Source organism: Homo sapiens, chromosome 2, assembly GCF_000001405.40.
Source record: "Homo sapiens chromosome 2, GRCh38.p14 Primary Assembly".
Classification (NCBI taxonomy): domain Eukaryota; kingdom Metazoa; phylum Chordata; class Mammalia; order Primates; family Hominidae; genus Homo; species Homo sapiens.
Window position 1 is genome coordinate 182,156,123 of NC_000002.12, and position 21,979 is coordinate 182,178,101.

At 38.2% G+C, this 21,979-nt stretch overlaps 1 protein-coding gene across 18 annotated transcripts in view; it reads right to left on the reverse strand.

Moving 5' to 3' along the window:
- The window catches only part of PDE1A (phosphodiesterase 1A), a 576,757-nt gene that overhangs the window by 16,082 nt on the left and 538,696 nt on the right, over positions 1 to 21,979 (reverse strand). For 5 of the 18 annotated variants that reach the window (NM_001003683.3, NM_001395262.1, NM_001395263.1 and 2 more), the window contains one exon: positions 11,759 to 12,168. The exons of 9 other annotated variants lie outside the window; for them this stretch is intronic. In NM_001003683.3, the coding sequence (NP_001003683.1) occupies positions 12,125 to 12,168 (44 nt within the window). In that variant the 3' untranslated portion in view covers positions 11,759 to 12,124. Of the gene's footprint in view, positions 1 to 11,758; positions 12,169 to 12,191; positions 16,248 to 17,305; positions 17,390 to 21,979 lie in introns of those variants that run through there. 4 more of the 18 variants (XM_011511326.3, XM_017004294.3, XM_011511323.3 and 1 more) reach the window with 4 other exon arrangements.

Sequence of the window (21,979 nt, forward strand, 5' to 3'; positions counted from 1 at the left end):
ATTTTAGCATGAAGTGTTACTATAGCTCAAATTATCTAATCATAAGTTATCTGTGCAGGAAATAGCATAAGAGCATAACTTAGTAAGGAGGAATAACTTAAGTTTATAATTATTAAGAACAATATTAGTAGCAACAGTAAAAACAATAGTAAACATTCAGAAAATGCTTACTGTGTACCAAGCACTGTGCTTAGTGCTTCACATATTTTATCATCTTATCCTTTCAACACTTTTTTTTTTTTACCCAAGGTCATACACCATCTAAGTGACAGAGCTGGGCTTTCAACCCCAGAGCCATGAATTTTATTACTAAGTTGAAGAGTTTGGTAACATGGTGCTAAGGCTCTGACTCAAAGGGGAAAGTATCTATTGATTGGAAAGGGCGGGAGCATTCCTAGTCATCTGGAAAAGCACAACAGTGAAGTTTCCAGTTGGGAAATGTGGAGTAAACATGACATTTTTCATCTTCCTTCTCTAACAAGCTACTAGTATTTGAAATTCAGTTCTTCAGGGGTGGCTGAGTAGTGTGGTAGTAAGAAGTGTGAGCAGCATTTGTAAGAAATAAGATTATCTTTTTACTACTATTCTCTGTGATAAAACCAGCAGTAGAAGATAATCTAAAAAGAATCCAGCAGCAAGGCCTGCACAAGTCCTATACCCGTGGGGATTTCAAAGTAAAGGGCTGCTAATACTATAAAGGAGAAATAATAGACATTGGGACTCCAAGAATAATGAGAAGTTATTTTATTTAAAATCCAGTATAAATATATAACTGAAGTAAGTATCTATGCTTAAAAAATCAAAAGATGTAGAGGAGCACAAACCCTGTTATCATTTTTGTTTCGTTGAATTTTTTATTTTTTTATTATTATTATTATTTTATTTTATTTTATTTTATTTTTTTTTTTTTGAGACAGAGTCTTGCTCTGTCACCCAGGCTGGAGTGCAATGGTGCAATCTCGGCTCACTGCAACCTCCAGCTCCTGGGTTCAATCGATTCTCCTGGCTCAGCCTTCCCAGTAGCTGGGATTACAGGCACACGCCACCACGTCTGGATAATTTTTGTATTTTTAGTAGAGACAGGATTTCACCATGTTGGCCAGGCTGGTCTCAAACTCCTGACCTCAGGTGAACCACCTGCCTTGTCCTTCCGAAGTGCTGGGATTACAGGTGTGAGCCACTGTGACCAGCCTATTTTGATGAATTGTGACTCTCCATCCTGAAACACCATGGCTAAGCATCCATTGTAGATCTTAAAACTTCCCAAATTGTGCACACTTTGCATATTCAAACATAGCAAGAGCTATGAACTGTTTCTAACCTAGAGACTGCAAATATCACAAGTTTCTATAGACTCTAAGACCCAATTTTAGTGTTTATAATCAACAAACTCTTCAATGCAGAGGGCACTTCTTTGTATGAGTTTCCATCTAGGGAGGATGCGAGAAGAGTTAGGAAAGTAAGTTTCCTTTGATTTTTTTTCTCTTCGTTTTTTTCGTGGAGACTAAACCCACTTACAATCTTTACCAACCTAAATAATATTCACCATGTAAGTATCTGTTACAGAAGAACAAGTCATCAAATGCTGGTGGTATGCATAATCCAAAATTCTAGGAGTCTATAGATATCCCTGATGGTATTTTGTAAACACTGTTCAACAAATTTGTAAACTGAGTTGAATTGGAGCTACCAAATGCCCCCAGAAATAAATGTTTTTCCATCTCATCTTTTAGCTTGAAGCCACCAAATCTTTAAGAGGCTTTAGAGAGTTGGTAGTAGCTATGTTGATTGGGCCTAAGAATCAGCCAAGATAGAAATCAATTCCACATATTCAGCTATGCTTTAACCTGGGGTGAGAAAGTCTCTTGGCTTCTTACAAAAGTCTTTCCACGTTATTTCTTTCTCTGCTATGTACATGTCAATACCTAACTTTGGCTGGCTATGATGGGGGGTTATTTGATGGGATATGTGGAGAGAGCTAGCTTCATCTACTTAGAGTTTGTGAACGTAGTGGTGGAAGAAATTGCCTCCCTTGGATGTATATGCAAGTTGCTCCTATTGAAGTAAACTTGTAAATTCATGCTTTAAAATAAAAGCACTTTAAGCAATTAGTCACAAAGTACTTTATTGATCTACAACTTTCAGTCAGGATTATGAGAAGCAGTAGAATCTCTAATCTCTAAAGACTCATGTAACAGGTTAACTGTCCTGATGGAGGCAAACTTATTTAATATAAGTTGTGGGTGTTTTGTTATCTCTACATCAAATTACATCAAAACTATTCTCTTACTCTTGTTGTACTGCCTTTATTTGATGAAGTTTTTGTTTATTACTGATGTATTTGGGTTTCTCTGAATCAGCAGACATGCCTTCATATTTTATAGAAGTCTCATCTAAGATGGAAGGGTAATGTGGGAACACAGGAGCCTTCTGAATGAATCCCATGTCCAGAGTGATGAGTTAATATCTTTGAGTTGATATTAACTTGACTGAACTTCTATTGCTAACTCTACAAAAATTTCCTGACACGAATCAAAATTAGCGCATGGCTTCCAAGACCACTCACTACCCAGTTGTCTTGCTAAAGAATGGGCCTTGGTTATGTTTTGAAGATGACACTGTAATACACTTTGAACATCAGATTCTTGTAGGTTTTCACCATCTTCCCATGAAGACATACTGAATCCTACCTTAAGAGATCTTTTAGATCACTTTTCCTTTCCTTTTCACTTTGCATAATTTTTTTCTTTGGAGAAAGAACAAAATACAGAAATTAAATACATATGACAGAGATCAAATACTTTAGTTATACATTTTTTGCATAATTACTGGGAATTTCCTAGATTCCTATCATTAACAAGAGAAAGTTATATTAGCCAAAGTATAAATAGCAGTCCTAGAAGAAGTAAAATTAGGGAAGCTGAAGAGTTTGGGCTGTATACAGTCTAAATCTAGGCATATTTTAAGAGATAAAAATTAAAATGGTAAAAATCCCTTCAGGAAAGAATTGAATTGTCATAAACCAAGTTTACTGGATAAGCTAAAGTGTCCTCTTTTTGAGAAAATTTAGGTTTACAGAACCTTCTTTTTTAGAATCCTTCTTTCCCTCTAAAGGGTTCTGTGACAGGTATATGAAGTGGCAGAATCCTTAACAGAAAGTATTTAGATAAAGATGGTCCATTTATAACTATATAGAGTGAGCAGTTGTAGTAACCATTCAGAACAAGCTAATTCCATTGCTTGATTTACTCATCAGAAAACTGGATGGATTTGGGAGATATTTGGGGATAAACTTTATAGACTATCTTGATAGGTTAATTAAGAATGGAAAGGTGATAGAAATCACCTATCAAGATAATTCATCACACAGCAGTTCACTCGACTGATTGATGGACAGCGCCATTGCATGTTTTGTCATGAGTTAAGCATAATCTTATATATATCAAAATCATCTTAAGCAAGTAATACTTTTCCATAGCACACTTCTTTAAGGAAGCTTTCTATGAAATATCCATTCAGTCTCAAGGAACATATGTGAGCTGAGGAGAATAAGAATTAATGTAGGCCGAGTGCATTGGCTCTTGCACTTTGGGAGGCTGAGGAGAGAGGATCACTTGAGTCCAGGAGTTCAAGACCAGCCTGTGGAACATAGTGAGACCACATCTCTACAAAAGTGAAAATTTAGCCAGGCATGGTAGTGTGTGTCTGTAGTCCTAGCTATTCAGGAGACTGAGGCAGGAGGATTTCTTGAGCCCAGGAGTTTGAGGCTGCAGTGAGCTATGATTATGCCATTGCACTTCAGGCTGGGTGACACAGAGAAACCCTGTCTCAAATTAAAAAAAAGAATTATTGTAGAAAATGCCAAGTTCTAAACACTTTATATACATTGACTCATTTAATCCTCCTAACAGCTCTTGAGACAGAAACTATTTTTGTGATCCTCACTTTATAAATGAGCAAACTGAAACACAAAAAAGATTAAATCAATTGTCCAAGATTACATAACTAGTAAGTAAGGAACCAGAATTGAAAAAGATAGTCTAGTTCTAGAGTCCTGGATCCTAACTGTATATTATGCTCCCTCCCTGGGTGTAATGTACTGCCTTTTATGTTTTTGGCTTTTCTTAGTGTGATGATTAATTTTAGGTGTCAATTTGACTGGATTGAGGGCTGGTGAGGTACTGATTTTGGGTATGGCTGTGAGGGTATGTCCAGAAGAGATTGACCCATGAGTTAGTGAACTGGGCCACCCTCAATGTGGGCAGGCACCATCCAGTCAGTTAGGGATGTAGGTAAAGCAATGCAGGCAGGAAAAGGGAGACATTCGTCTTGCTCAGCTTTTTCTTTTGGCCTCTCTGTCTCTCTCTTCCTGAGTAGACACCTTTTTATCCTTTGCCCTTGGACACCAGACTCCAGGTTCTTTGACCCTTAAACTCTGAGATGCAGTAGCCACCTCCTGGGGCACTCTAAGGCCGTTAGCCTCAGACTGGGGCTGCATTCTTGGCCTCCTTGGTTTTGAGGCTTTCAGACTGAGATGGTCACACTACCGGCTTCTCTCAAAGCCACGCTACAAACTGCTTCTTCATCTTGCAGATGGCCTATCGTGGTGAGACTTTGCCTTTGTGACAGTGTGAGCCAATTTTCCCCAATAAATTCCCTTTCATGTATATTCTATTGGTTCTGTCCCCCTGGAGAACCCTAATACAGACACTGATGCCAGGAATGGTTCTAGAGGAACAGTATTCTTAAAAGGAATTTCCTTAATTGGTTTTGGGATTTCTGGAACTGACTTTATAATCTGATTAAACCTAAATAGTCTTTGGCGTGAACTGTTTATAGAGATACACAAAATAAAGGCACTTGATGCTTCTAATTCACCACTTTCAGGAGGTAAGGAGTTCAGTGACTATATGCATACCTTCCAACTCTGGTGGGAAACCAAGAAATGATAATGAAGTTAGTTGGGTGCTCTTAATATCACTGGACAAAGTGAGGAAAGAAAAAGATGAGCTCAGGGATTCCAACTCCCAGCTCCAGATGCATATACATACCCTAAAAATTTCTAAGTGTGTCCTGAAGGAGAAGGAGAATCTCCTCTTCTTTAGCCATGGGACTTAAACTGCTGAAAATCAAACACAAGCCTTCAGCATCCATCGGCTGAGTTACAAAGAAAGGTGAACTCTCAGCCTTTACTGGTATCTAGTGTTAAAGTGAGGACGTTGGTTGGGGAAAAAAAAAATGGAATTATCTAAATGGGGATGGAGATGTGTGGGATGATCCTGATGGGGGGCATTGAGCTCGTAAATTCTGAAGAGTATTTTTTGCCAAGGTGACTGTCCTCTCCACCTCCAGAGGCAGTGGCACCCCCACCCACAATGGTATCTCTTTTCCACCCCTCTCTGGGATTAACTGCATTGTCAGAAAAAAGAGTAATGGTCTCCCCTGCAGCAGTTGCCGGGCAAGACAATGCTGATTCTCCTTGAGACCCACCCCTACCACCCCTCTTTGCTTCTAAACCTGTAACTAGACTGAAATCCCAGAGGGGAGGTTCAGAGTGTGACCCACAAGGAGGTGCGCTATACTCCAAAAGAACTACTTGAGTGTTCTAACTGATACCAGCAGAAATCCAAGAAACATGCGTGGGAATGGATATTAAGGATGTGGGATTATGGTGGAAGAAACAAAGAATAAGGTCAAATTTATTGATATGAGCCCACTAAGCATATATTCTGCATTTAATATTGAAGCTCAAGGAGTGAAAACAGGCACTATAAGTTTATTTGGCTGACTGGCTGAAACATGGATCAAAAAATAGACCACCCCAGGAGTGAGCTGGGGATGCCTGATCTACCTTGGTTTCATTTAGAGGAGGGAATTAAAAGGCTTAAGGAAATTGGAATGATACAGTGGACTTGTCACATAAAACCTACTCCCCCACACTGGGAGGGTCCAGAAGATACACCTTTCACTAATATTTTAAGAAATAAATTTGTGAGGGGAGCACCAGCATCCTTAAAGATCTCTGTGATTGCTCTTCTCTGCATTCCAGAACTTATAGTGGGAACTACAATCACTCAATTAGAAAACAAATGCAATGGGAATAATTGGATCCCTGGGTGGCAGGAGCCAAGCGATGGCACTCAAATGTCAAAGGCAAGGTGGGCGTAGTTACTGGAATTAACAGCAGAGGCAAAGCAACAATCAGAATAATCTGACTTGTGTAGACCTCCAGCACTGGCTAATTAATCATGATGTTCCTAGAAGTAAAATAGATGGGAAGCTTACTATGCTCTTACTTGAACTGTAGAAGCACAAAATTTCTGGGTCAAGTGAAGAAAAGTCTAACTCAAATCTTGACAACAGGGAATCACTGCCCCTCAATCAATTTCTAGACTTGAGCCAGTTTACAGACCCAGAGCCCTTTAAGTGAAGGGGAGACCAGGTCCTGTTGAGGAAAGACTCTGGTGCACTACATAAAATTTATACTGTTAATCTTTCTCTTATACTTCCCCAAAGGGACCTCTGGCCTTGTATCAGGGAAAGGAAAATAATCAGGCTTTTCAGGGATGACTGGCCACTGGCTCTGAACTGACATTGATCCCAAGAGACTGAAAACATCACTGTGGCCCTCCAGTTATAGTAGAGGTTAGGGGAGTCAGGTGATTCATGGAGCTTTAGCTCAGGTCCAGTGGTCCCCGAACCCATAAGGTAGTTATTTCCCCAGTTCAAAATGCATTATTGAAATAGACAGACTTAGCAGCAGACAGAATCCCCACATTGGTTCCCTAACTAGTGGGTGAAGATTATTATGATAGGAAAGGCCAAATGGAAGCTATTAGAACTGCCTGTACCTAAGACAATAGTAAATAGAAAACAAGGTAGCATTCTTGAAGGGTTTGCAGAGACTAGTGCAACCATCAAGGACTTGACAGATGCAGAGGTGGTGATTTTCACCATGTCCCCATTCAACTCTCCTATTTGGCTTGTACAGAAGACAGATGGATCCTGGAGAATGGCAATGGCTTATTGTAAGCTTACCCAAGTCGTGACTCTAATTGCAACTGCTACACCCAATGTAGTTTCATTCTTGAACACATTAACACATCTGGTGCCTGTTATGCAGCTATTGTTCTGGTAAATGCTTTTTCTCCATACCTGTCCATAAGGCCCACCAGAAGCAATTTGATTCACTGGCAAGGCCAGCAATATACCTTTGCCCTCCTACCTCAGGGGTATACCAACCCTTCAGCCCTATGTCATAATCTATTTTGCAGGGATCCTGATTGCTTTTCCCTTCCACAAGCTATCACCCTGTTCACTTCATTGATGATATTATGTTAATTGGACCTAGTGAGCAAGAAGTAACAACCACTGTGGATTTATTGGCAAGACATGTGCATTGTCAGGGGGCAGGAAATAAATCCAACTAAACTTCAGGGGCCTTCCATTTCAGTGAAATTTCTAAGGGTCCAGTGGTGCAGGGCCTGTGGAGATAACCCTTCTAAAGTAAAGAGTTGTTGCATCTGGCCCCTCCTATAACTGAGAAAGAAGCACAATTCCTAGTGGACCTATTTGGATTATAAAGGCGACATATTTGGGTGTGTTACCCTAGCCCATTTACTGGGTGACACAAAAAACTGCTAGTTATGAGTGGGGCACAGAACAGGAAAAGACTGCAACAAGTCCAGGCTGCTATGCAAGCTGCTCTGCCACTTGGGCCATGTGACCCAAGAGCTCCAATGGTCCTTGCTGTATCAGTGGCAGATAGGTATGCTGTTTGGAGTCTTTGGCAGGGCCCTACAGGTGAATCACAATAGAGGTCTTTAGGATTCTGGAATGAGGCCTGGCATCATCTGCAGATAACTACTCTCCTTTTGCGAGGTAGCTCTTGACCTGCTACTAGGCCTTAGTAAAAGCTGAATGCTTGGCCTTGGGCCAGCAAATTACCATGTGACCTGAACTACCTACCATTAACTGGGTGTTATTTGGCCCATTAAGCCATAAAGTTGGGGAGACACAGCAGTATTCTATCGTCACATGGTAGTGGTATACACACGATCAGGCTGAAGCAGGTCCTGAAGGCACAAGTAAGTTACATGAAGAAGCCCAAATGCCCATAGTCCTCACTCCTTCTACACTGCCTCCTCTCTCCCAGTTTGTACTATGCCTTCATGGGGAGTTCCCTACAATCAGTTGACAGAGGACAAGAATACATGGTCCAATGGTTTGGCTGGATGGTCAAGGACTTGGAAGGAACATAATTGGAATATTGGTAACACAGAAATTTGGGGAAGAGTTATGTGTATAGACCTCTCTGAGTGGGCAAAAAATATAAAAATATTTGTGTTCCATATGAATACTCACCAAAAGGTGACCTCAGCAGAGGAGGGTGTTAATAATCAAGTGAATAAGATGACCCATTCTGTGGATACCAGTCAGCCTCCTCCTCAGCTACCATTGTCATTGCCCAGTGAACTCATGAACAAAGTGACCATGGTGGTAGGGATAGAGGTGATTCATGGGCTCAGCAACATGGGCTTCCACTCACCAAGAGTGATCTGGCTACTGCCTCGCCATAGACTGAGCACTCACAGACCAATAGTGAGCCCTAATATGGCACCATTCCCCAGGGCAGATTGATTCCATTAGACTACTTCCATCACAGAAGGGGCAGCATTTTGTCCTTACTGGCATAGACACTTAGTATGGATATGGATTTGTCTTCCCTGCATACAATGCTATTGCCAAAACTACCATCTGTAAACTTATGTAATGACTTATTCACTGCCATCCTATTCCACACAGCATTGTTTCTGACCCAGGAATTCACTTCACAGGGAAAAAGTGCAGCAATCAGCTCATGCTCATAGAATTCACTGGTCTTAGCATGTTTCCCATTCTCCTGAAGAAGCTGGCTTCTACAGTACCAGCTAGGTGACAATATTTTACAGGGCTGAGATAGATTTCTCCAGAAGGTTGTATATGTTCTGAATCAGCATCCAATATATGGTACTGTTTCTCCCATAGCCAGGAGTCATAGGTCCAGGAATCAATAGGTAGAAATGGAAGTGGAACTACTTATCATCACCTCTAGTGACCCACTAGCAAAATTTTTTCTCACTGTTTCTGCAACATTATGTTCTTCTGGCCTAGTTCTGCAGTGAACTTTGTTTCAGAGGGAGGCATGCTTCTACTAGGAGACACAAAAATGATTCAACTGAACTGGGAATTAAAACTGTGACCCGGCTGCTTTGGGTTCCTCATGATTCTTGAGTCAACAGGCTAAAAAGGGAGTTAGGGTGTTGGCTAGGGTGATTCATCTAGGCTACTAAGGGCGATTGATTGGCCTACTGTTCCACAATGGAGATAAAGAATAGTATTTCTGGAATACAGAAGGTTCCTTAGAGCAACTATTAGTATTACCCTGTCCTGTGATGAAGGTCAATGGGAAACTACAACCACTCAATATAGGCTGACTATGAATTGCCCAGACTCTTCAGGAATGAAGGTTTGGGTCACCTTGCCAGGCAAAGAACCATGACCAGCTGAGGTGCTTACTGAAGGCAATACAGAATACAGAATGGGTAGTAGAAGACATGTATAAATACCATATACAGCCATGTGGCCAGATACAGAAATGAGGATTGTAATTTTTATAAGTATTTCCTATTTTGTTAAGAATACATTTGTATGTATATTAACATGTCTTAAGCAAGTATCTTTGTTTTCTCTTTTTCCTTTATCATGTAACATAAGATTTATTGACTTAATATCAGCATTTGAATACTGTTAATTTTATATCAGATTTGAGTTGCAGGAGATCAGAAGAGTAAACCACACTCATGAACTTTATCCTTTCTTCTGAGGATGGGATTAGTACACGTTGGCTTGTAAACAGGATAGTTTCACCATGTTGGACAGAATTATGACCTTTTTATAGTCTTCATCTGGAGATTAGGTGTGGTTTAAAGAGGTGCATAATGGGTGCCAAGCTGGCAAGGGGTAGACTTGTGATGGGTAATTTTAGGTACCAACTTGACTGGATTGAGGGATGCCTAGATGGCTGGTGAAGCATTGTTTTGGGGTGTGCCTAGGTGACTGTTTCCAGAGAAGATTAACCCATGAGTCAGTGGGCTGAGAGAGAAAAAGACCTACCCTGAATATGGGCGGGCACCATCCAATCAGCTGGGGGAGCAGCTGGGACAAAGCAGGTAGAAAAAGGGAGACACTCAGCTTGCTCTGGCTTTCTCTCTTTCCCTTTCTGAGTAGGAAACTTCCATCACAGAAGGGGCTGTTTATCCTCCTTCCCTTGGACATTCAGCTCCAGGTTCTCAACCTTTGGACCCTGAGACTTGTACCAACAGCCTCCCGGGAAGGGGGTGGTCTAAGGCCTTTGGCCTCAGGCTGGGGCTCCACTGTTAACTTTCCTGGTTTCTCGGCTTTTGCATTTGGACTGAGCCAAGCCACCAGCTTTTCTGGCTCTCCAGCTTGCAGATGGCCCATCATGGGACTTTGCCTTTATGACTGCATGAGGCAATTCTCCCTAATAAATTTCACTTCACATGTATTTCTTATTGTTTCTGTCCCTCTGGAGAACCTTGACTAATCTGATGATATTTTATAGCCAAGTTTTCCACCTCCTGTGTGAAGGCAAGGTGAGATAGATGAAATAAATATACTTATTTGTGAAAATACATTATTCAATACTGGACATCAGCCATTCTTAGCTAATTAATTATTGGAGTGCTTCTACTAGTCTAGCAGAGTTAACTATTAAGTAAACTGATAACAGTAAAAGATGATGTAGGAAAGCAGCTCTTAAAAACCAGACTTTTTCCAAAAAGAAATAACTTAGCTAACCTTAAACTGAATTATGTAGAAAACAAGTCAATTTCAAATCCAACAAAAACAGTACAGTAAACCGTTCATGTTCTGAGAGACCAAAATAAATACCCACTTATTAACTAAGATGAACCCTAAGGTTAATGAAACAAAAGTTACTTCCAGGTTGAGTGTTGAGAGCTTGACTGTCATGGAAACTTCCTAAATTCCTACGGCTATAAGAAAAACCACATTCTTGGTAAACTCCCTAACAATAGGAGATATCAGAAAAATTGCAGACCCTTCCTAACTGATTTATAGCCCACACCACTACAACTTTAAGAAGACTGAGGGCCAATCTTACAAACATTCTTTACTGAGAAGTAACTAAAGATCTCAAGCCAGTTTTGGCCAGCTTACAGAGACTGTCCACAAACTTTGTATCCTATGTTTCTTTAAAAGAAAGAGCCAAATTCCTCCTCATTTTAATGCTAAATCCCCACCGCAAAATGAACATGGGATGTACATTACATATATGTTTACCCATTAGGCATGTGCTTGACTCTGCTCATAAATATGTATAGCTTTTTCCCCAAACCTGCTAAATATGTATGCCTCTATTGTGTAATAGACTCTGTGAGGCATAAAAACCCAACTACCCTTTCCCTCTTCGAAGAGAGAGCATCTTTGGTACACACTGGAGACTGTCTCTTCCCAATTTGCAAACTGATATTGCCAGTAAAACTCACCTTTCTACTATTTGGACAACCTGGTGGGTTTTTGGATGATACATTTCATCCCTGCCATTCACTCTCACTATAATATAAACATGTTTTCAAAGATATCTATCCCTTAGGACAAATGGTAGAATTAATGTAAAAGATAATTTTTTTTTTTAATTTGCACTACATTTTTGACGTTTAGAAAAGGGACAATCTAAGGTGAAAACAGGTGGACCAAGCTTTATTGTAGAAATGACAAAATTAGCAATTAGCTGCTCAAAGAAAATTTATTGGCACTCGGTAAAGACAAATGCCACAAAATGCCATTGAAACAGATATCTGAAAGCACAAGGTGCTGATGTAGCCACTAGATGAATCTGTTCGGTAGCAGTTGAGCCCGGTGAATTAAGGAGTTTACAGCTGTTATTTATGTGGCTCATGATGCTTATTGAGCAATCTGCAAAAATAGATTTCCTGTCTCACACAGGACAGGGTAGATTTCCAGCAAGCATAATCAAAATCTCCAAGTCTTTTGGTCAAATTAGAGCTGCCACCATGCACGAGGTTTTACTTAAAGGTGTTTACTGATGAATAAACTCACACTTCTGTGAACTGGTTCTTGCTTCTGAAAAAAAAAAAAGCGTACTTATTTTAATAATTTAGAGAAAATGCTGTAAAGAAGTTATGAAAAAAAGTAATTCTCATTTATAATCAGCCATGATTGTAAAAAATTACTGTCGTAAAATTATGAAGAGAAACATAATTGGCATATTTTCCTTAATTTTTAATATACTTTGCTTTTGCTATTGAAACTTTTGTGATTCTTGTATTCATCAGTGGTGATCTTAAGATGATTCATTTTTCTTTATAACTCAACTTATTTTTTACTCTACTTGAATTGTTGCCTGGATTCCTATGGAGTCCAACTCTAGTTGTTATCAACTAGAGCAGACACTCTCAGAATCTAATGAGAGATTATCTTGAAACCTATTAATATTGTCTGCTAACAAATAGTATGCAATGCAAATATTTGGATGTAGAATTTTATTATGTAAAGAAATGATATTCTATCTGTGATTTATTTTCAAAATAAAAAAGAATAAAATCATGTTTCCTTTTCCTTTATCCACAGAAAATATCTTTCTCTTATTAAAAAATGTTGAAATATGCTAACAACAACAACAAAATTTCTGATTGAATTACAGACCGGAAGGGCTAATGCTGTCACATAGGTTATAACACGATTTTCAGGTGGAATTGTGCTCTATCATTCCTTAATCTCCTGAAATGGCATCAAGGAAATTATTAAGTCTTGTGTGCATGTGTGTGTAAGTGTATGTGTGTGTATATCTGACAAGTTATAATCATGCGCAATATAATGCTATTTTTTATAATTTAATATAAATATCATAAATAATTTCTTTAACTCATAAGCATTTGGTAAACTCATAAGCATTAAGATGAACTATAGAAGGACAATTTTGGCTACATATGGGTTTTAGAACAATTCTAAACTCATTGAAATTAGGTTTCTTCTCTTTACTATTTACCAGACTTTACATTGATTCCATCTCCAGTTTAGTAGAGTTATGGAAATACAGTTTTAAGGAAAGAATATTGTACATTGAAAAAAACATACTGAAACATAAATGCTGAAAGTTATACCATAAGAATTAGCTATATTTATTTATTTGCACACAAATGTGGCATGGATTTTGTATATCAACACAATAAATGTCATAAGCTCTGAGTGATACAACTAAAATAATAGTAAAGGCAGTATTGGCTAAAATTATTGATCACAACAATGAGATATGACACACAGAAAGAAAAAAAATCTATAATACTCAATAAGGACCATCTGCTAGGGTTCCTGTTAAACAAATGGGAGGGACAAAATGCATACCTTGGATGAAGAGGATTGGTGGAGTCTTCTGGAAATAACTTCTAATATCCTGACTGTATCTAACTATGAGTAAACATCTAAGAGTTACTCCAAGACAGATGAGCTTCACAGACCACCCCTACTTTCAAATTTAGTAAAGAGTACATCATCTGATAATTCATCTTCCTACCAACCCAGATCCTTTCTTGTCCTAGTCCTGCCCCTCTTGGGAAAACATTTTATCATCACCAAGCCAGCTAATAATCTCTATGGGAATGCAGGCATGCTCCCTCTACCTTCCTTCTTACTTTTGTTGTCCATGCAAATACAGTGGACAGGAGACACACACACACACACACACACACACACACGCACACACACACACACACTCTCCCTCTCTCTCTTTCTCTTTCATACACACACACACACACACACACTCACACACACAATATTACTTAAAATATCCTTAAGTTATGCTGCTGTCAGAATCCTTCCATCAGTAGATTTTGAGCACACTTTTTGCTCTGGAGGGAAGTTTAGAGAATTTAACTAAACCAACCCATCATAATTAACTTCTAGAACATGATACAGGTTACTGGTTTTGAATTTGGGCAAAATAGATGAAAAGCCCCGCCTTTTCAAAAATTAGTTTTGTGACGTTAGACAAATAATTTAGTTTCTCTGAGTGAGCTTCACTTTTGTCAGACTAAAATTCTTTCCTTGTAGAGTTAGCTGTAATTTTTTTTGTATAGATGGTCAATGGGTGAATAAATGATAAAAAATTTCACTCCCAAATTCATAACTTTCAACATTTAAAAATAAAAATATCTGTGAGATATAACTAATCTTATGAGCACATTTGTAAGCTCATTGGATAAATTGTGCTAAGATTAAACAGAAGTAGATTTGATGAAGCAATTATGCTAGTCTTTGGGGTAAGGTTTCACAGGAAATTCTTTCCTCTTTCTGTCTGTACTCCTACCGCATAGCTATACCATATAATTTTCTGTGTGCTATATGAAACCGTGAAAAGAAATGAGAAAGTTAGATTCATTTGTAATACATGTATACACCTGTGATGCTGGAGACTTACTTCGCTGCCTTAGACCTAAGTTCTCACCTTGGATTTAGATATGATAATATCTAAATTGTAGGGTTATTTGTCTGACTAAACAGGATAGTGATTGTAATAAAACTCAGTGTATTTCCTGGAACATAAAGATGTAGTTAGTAGAATATGAATCTACATTTGATTTGGCATTAATACCAACATAATTACAAAGATTATTTACCATACATAATACAAAATATTGCATCTTAAGATGTTTCAAATATAAACAATATATAAAGTTTAATTAGTGAACTATGATAATATATTAAAATACTATGTTAATCATAAGGCAAATTTGATCTTTTAATAATGTTAATACTTTCCCACCAATTTTAAATGTTTCTCTTACTTCTAGTGAAAAACACTTCTAGTTTTGTTTTTAAATTTTTTAACCAGTGATATAAAACCTATTCCCATTTTTTTGTTTCCTACTGAGAAAATGTATGAGCTTTTCTAGCAAAAACATAATTTAAATAAACCGTAAAATGTTAAAAATATAAGCAACCATCTAACTCAGTAACTCGTGATATTTTCTAATTACAAATGTAGGTCATAGGTACAGTGATTAACATTTTGAAAAATGTCCTGAGGGTAATGAGGAAATTAAGTTTTTATAGGAATTCTAATGAAATTGAAAATAACAGACAAACCATGATCAACCCAGACAATATGCAGTATTGCATATTATGTATGGTACGTGATTTTTGTTTGAAGAACTATAGACGTCATTTTAGGGAAACCATCAGGCTTTTGCTTTGTTGAATTGATTAATCTTTTGATCAGAACTAAATTGTTCTGAAAAATTGGGAGTATTTTAGAAGCAGAATGAGAAGAGAGATAGATAGAGACCTGGAATCAAGAGGAACGGAAGCCTATAGGTTTTGGAGAGAGAGGAGATGAGTGGTAACAAAAGAAGGGATTTCTGTTCTTCAAGGTGTAAGGTTAAGACAACAGAGCTTCCAATAATTTGGAAGTATTTTCAGCACTTGGAGCGGGGCTAATTATTGGGGGTATATAACAAAGTCTTGAGTCTGTCCTTGGTGTGAGCATTACACATGAACCCAGTCAAATTCTGGTCACACATCAAACTGCTACTAGATGAGAGCGGCACCAGAATGAGAGAACTGTCTCTGAGAGCTGTTCCATACCTTGTATCCAAAGACTTAGCTTACTCTGCCCCATCATCTCTGTTCGACAGTGCAACATCCAACCCAATACTCCCTTCCCCATTATTACCTCTACTTCCCAAATTTCCACACTTCCTGTCCCAGAGTTTTCAGAAGCCACAAAACTCCCATGAACTCTTGCATGCATTACTCATATTGCAAAGTACAATTAGAGCAAGTGACTAGGTTTGAGGTATCAGAAAGCATAGCAAATGCAGACATAAAACATGAGGAGAAACTTTTGGGGAACAACCCTTACATTTAGTTTGCCCTTTTGTGATTTATCAGATTTTTAAGGTCATTTAGCTAACAAACAAAAACATACTACAAAATAGTGGGTAATACTATTTCATTTATGTGGACTCACCATTAATATCAGACTTCCACAAAGTGGAGCAAACTTTCTTCTAATCAACACTGACAGAGCTCTTACCTAGCCCTGAGTAGGAGACACCAGAAATCTGATGCTGAACAGCCCATGAGTTCTGCTCTCAAGAAAAAAAGATGATAGGCATTTGTTTGCACTGGTACACAGGGGGTCTCTGTAAATATTTTTGTAATGACTTAATTAGTGGTTCTCAACCTTTTATCAAAATCCATAGTTTTTACATTTGTAACATACTCCAATCATATCTCATAATACACAGTGGTTCTCATTGCATAGAGAAATGATGCACACACCCAAAGCAGAATGCCAGAACCTCGATAAGGCATGTGTAGTTAAATGTCCTCTCCACCTCCACTCTTACTAGAACTCTAATTTGGGTAGGCCTCCTGCAAATGCATTTCTCACTTCTTATTTTGAGAACGCAAGGTAGAATATGATAAGCAGTCTAACTACACTACAGTATGAAAGAGACAGCTATGTTTATAAAACTAAATGATAGGCTTCTTGGAGAAGATGGCATTTTAATTGAATCTTGGAAGACAGGATTTTAATAAGCAGAATGGAGGAGAAGGCCCAGGAAGAGCATTCTATGAGGAGGGAAGAACAAAACCAAAGGTAGAGAGATAGGAAAACATAGGCGTAGCTAGACTTCGAGTTGTGTGAAGAGTAACCTTAAGTTCCAGGACCAGTCATGACCTTGTCCACTGATCTTCCCAGGAGTAGAGAGCAAACATTCCAGGGTACAACAGTATGAACCAAGATCTAGATATCATGTGGGATAGACACAATGGAACTATCCCATCCCTAGGTGAATATAACTACGAAGGTTCCCATTGCCATTTCCTGACTTCAGCCTGCCAAGGTGAAGCTGGCTCAGATTTAGATCTGTACTTGGCTTGTCCTGACCATGAGCTGGTATTTCCTGCTCTTCCCCTACATGTCCTGTTGCACTGATTTAAATGCACAAAAGTGTTCTACCTAGACCTTCCTCTGTGAACTGGAGAAAGGGCATGTTGAACTTTAAAAAAATCAAGTAGTCCAGATGATGCTGATAGGCTGCCCAGGTTGAAAACTTTTGAGTTGTACCTTTGTAATAAAGGAATGAGTGAATGAATGGATAACACACAAGCACACACCATTCAAACAATTATTTAAGCTCTTCTAGGGTTAAGTGACTCTGAATATCACTTCTTAGAACTTCATGATTCTTACCTTCTGAAAGTTCCACTCTATCAAATGCATACTCCTGCTCTATTGTACTGCTAACATGATATAGAACATGATCTGAAGACAAAGCTGAAGAGGTTAAATTGGAAATAGGAACAATAAAGGAAATATATAATATAATAATTTAATTTACTAATAATTTAAAATATATAAAATTACTAACATGATCTCATTTAAACTTCTAATTACATTTTGAACCATAATTAGAGAGAGAATGATAGCAAGCTCTAGTTTTTATTTCTGAAAGACTTTGTTTTCCTCTGATTATTTGTCCCTTTTGAAATCTAAAATGTACATGTATATTCTCTCAGAATTGCTTAGGATTCAGTCCTGGGAACTTAGAAGTTATAATGTAAAGTGAACTGTGCTTTACATGAAGGGTTTTGATTGAATTAAAAAGATAGTGGAAAGGAATAGCAAATATTTTAAGAACACATACCTTATAAATACAACTTTTTAAAGTAATTCAATACAAAGTAACATTGACATGTTTTCGTTACTTTCAAAAAATCAATTTTTACTTTCTCTAAGCAACAGATATGGAAGAGTGAGGCCCACTGGTGAGTACTAATAGGCATTGCTGGCAAATAAAAACATGTGCTCAGAAAGCTTACAGAGACCCGTGAGATAAAACTACAGATAAATACCACAGGGGAATGTAGGTCTTTGAGAGTCACTGCTCTGTAACTAGTTGGGGTGGGGTGCCAAGGCTAACACTGCTATTCATTCTCCCTGAGCAGCTTGTTATCTAGCAGTCCTAAAGGCGATTTGAAAATATTCACTGAAAAAGCCTCTCTAAGTGTCCACAGAATCAGAGCTTGGGAATGGAGCCTGAAGCCATTCAGCCTTATTTCCTGATGACGTCCATGGACGCAGACCTAGGTTTTTCACAGAGAAGCAAAGGAGGAATATAAAGGTGGTACTCAGATAGATTACTTATTTATTGTTCCAATAACAACTTTTTCACATGCTCTGAAACCGAAAGGAAGACTTGGCTTGATTCAAACTGTGATACTTTTCAGAAGGAGCAAGAGAAACTCTGAGAGTCAATCAGGGGAGGGTAAAACAACTGTTTCTTGCATTTATTTGTAAAGTTCTCTGCATTACACACTGAACAAAAAGAAGGGCAAATTCACTATTCATACTCTGTTACAGTCCTCAAGTTTTTAAGCTGGCTTGTATAATCCTTTAAGTATTTTCTGGGAAGAAATAGTGTAAATAATTCAATTAACACCTTAAGATTGTCCTACACGTTGCATAAAACAGAACAGGTTATCTCATTTGTTTTTTATTTATTTTATTTTATTTTATTTTTATTATACTTTAAGTTCTGGGATACATGTGCAGAATGTGTAGGTTTGTTACAGAGGTACACACGTGTCGTGGGGGTTTGCTGCACCCATCAACCCGTCATCTACATTAGATATTTCTCCTAATGCTATTCCTCCCCTAGCTCCCCACCCTCTGACAGGCCCTGGTGTATGATGTTCCCTTCCCTGTGTCCATGTGTTCTCATTATTCAAGTCCCACTTATAAGTAAGAACATGTTGTATTTGGTTTTCTGTTCCTGTGTTAGTTTGCTGAGAATGATGGTTTCCAGCTTCATCCATGTCCCTGCCAAGGACATGAACTCATCCTTTTTAATGGCTGCATAGTATTCCATGGTGTATACATGCCACATTTTCTTTATCCAGTCTATCATTGATGAGCATTTGGGTTGGTTCCAAGTCTTTGCTATTGTGAACAGTGCTGCAATAAACATACGTGTGTATGTATCTTTATAGTAGAATGATTTATAATCCTTTGGGTACATACCACTGTCTTCCACAATGGTTGAACTAATTTACCCTCCCACCAACAGTGTAAAAGCATTCCTATTTCTCCACATCCTCTCCAGTATCTGTTATTTCCTGACTTTTTAATGATTGCCATTCTAACTGGTGTGAGATGGTATCTCATTGTGGTTTTGATTTGCATTTCTCTGATGGCCAGTGATGGTGAGCATTTTTTCATGTGTTTTTTGGCTGCATAAATGTCTTCTTTTGAGAAGTGTCTGTTCATGTCCTTTGCCCACTTTTTGATGGGGTTGTTTGTTTTTTTCTTGTAAATTTGTTTGAGTTCATTGTAGATTCTGGATATTAGCCCTTTGTCAGATGAGTAGGTTGCGAAAATTTTCTCCCATTTTGTAGGTTGCCTGTTCACTCTGATGGTAGTTTCTTTTGCTGTGCAGAAGCTCTTTAGTTTAATTAGATCCCATTTGTCAATTTTGTCTTTTGTTGCCATTGCTTTTGGTGTTTTAGACATGAAGTCCTTGCCCATGCCTATGTCCTGAATGGTAATGCCTAGGTTTTCTTCTAGGGTTTTTATGGTTTTAGGTCTAACGTTTAAGTCTTTAATCCATCTTGAATTGATTTTTGTATAAGGTGTAAGGAAGGCATCCAGTTTCAGCTTTCTACATATGGCTAGCCAGTTTTCCCAGCACCATTTATTAAATAGGGAATCCTTTCCCCATTGCTTGTTTTTCTCAGGTTTGTCAAAGATCAGATAGTTGTAGATATGCGGCGTTATTTCTGAGGGCTGTGTTCTGTTCCATTGATCTATATCTCTGTTTTGGTACCAGTACCATGCTATTTTGGTTACTGTAGCCTTGTAGTATAGTTTGAAGTCAGGTAGTGTGATGCCTCCAGCTTTGTTCTTTTGGCTTAGGATTGACTTGGCGATGCGGGCTCTTTTTTGGTTCCATAGGAACTTTAAAGTAGTTTTTTCCAATTCTGTGAAGAAAGTCATTGGTAGCTTGATGGGGATGGCATTGAATCTGTAAATTACCTTGGGCAGTATGGCCATTTTCACGATATTGATTTTTCCTACCCATGAGCATGGAATGTTCTTCCATTTGTTTGTATCCTCTTTTATTTCCTTGAGCAGTGGTTTGTAGTTCCCTTTGAAGAGGTCCTTCACATCCCTTGTAAGTTGGATTCCTAGGTATTTTATTCTCTTTGAAGCAATTGTGAATGGGAGTTCACTCATGATTTGGCTCTCTGTTTGTCTGTTGTTGGTGTATAAGAATGCTTGTGATTTTTGTACATTGATTTTGTATCCTGAGACTTTGCTGAAGTTGCTTATCAGCTTAAGGAGATTTTGGGCTGTGACCATGGGGTTTTCTAGATATACAATCATGTCGTCTGCAAACAGGGACAATTTGACTTCCTCTTTTCCTAATTGAATACCCTTTATTTCCTTCTCCTGCCTAATTGCCCTGGCCAGAACTTCCAACACTATGTTGAATAGGAGTGGTGAGAGAGGGCATCCCTGTCTTGTGCCAGTTTTCAAAGGGAATGCTTCCAGTTTTTGCCCATTCAGTGTGATATTGGCTGTGGGTTTGTCATAGATAGCTCTTATTATTTTGAAATACGTCCCATCAATACCTAATTTATTGAGAGTTTTTAGCATGAAGAGTTGTTGAATTTTGTCAAAGGCTTTTTCTGCATCTATTGAGATAATCATGTGGTTTTTGTCTTTGGCTCTGTTTATATGCTGGATTACATTTATTGATTTGCGTATATTGAACCAGCCTTGCATCCCAGGGATGAAGCCCACTTGATCATGGTGGATACGCTTTTTGATGTGCTGCTGGATTCGTTTTGCCAGTATTTTATTGAGGATTTTTGCATCAATGTTCATCAAGGATATTGGTCTAAAATTCTCTTTTTTTGTTGTGTCTCTGCCTGGCTTTGGTATCAGAATGATGCTGGCCTCATAAAATGAGTTATGGAGGATTCCCTCTTTTTCTATTGATTGGAATAGTTTCGGAAGGAATGGCACCAGTTTCTCCTTGTACCTCTGGTAGAATTCGGCTGTGAATCCATCTGGTCCTGGACTCTTTTTGGTTGGTAAGCTATTGATTATTGCCACAATTTCAGATCCTGTTATTGGTCTATTCAGAGATTCAACTTCTTCCTGGTTTAGTCTTGGGAGAGTGTATGTGTCAAGGAATTTATCCATTTCTTCTAGATTTTCTAGCTTATTTGCATAGAGGTGTTTGTAGTATTCTCCAACACCATTTATTAAATAGGGAATCCTTTCCCTATTGCTTGTTTTGGTGAGGGTTGTCAAAGATCAGATGGTTGTAGATGTGTGGCATTATTTCTGGGGCCTCTGTTCTGTTCCATTGGTCTATATATCTGTTTTGGTACCGGTACCATGCTATTTTGGTTACTGTAGCCTTGTAGTATAGTTTGAAGTCATGTAGCATGATGCCTCCAGCTTTGTTCTTTCATTTGGATTTCCCCATAATAAAAAAATGTCTTTTTTGTTGCTCAGTTTCCTCCTGAAATATGTCTTTGACATTACTAACCATACTGAAACACCTCAATGGATATAAAATTATGGATTTAATTTGTGTCACATGATTCAGTTCCATCACATTAAATCACTTAAATTCAAAGAAAAAAATAAGCTTCTAATCTTTCTTTTTCTGTAAAGTGAGGAAACATACTTGATAAATGTTCTTTGAATAATAGTATTTTAAATACACTTAATTTAGTAATCAAATATTGTTTTTCATTTCTCTTCTGAAACAACTACAAAAGCTTATTTTGTGTGTCTCGATGAGCTGATACAGTGAATCATTAGCTGATCTGGTTTTGTTTCTACTTGTTT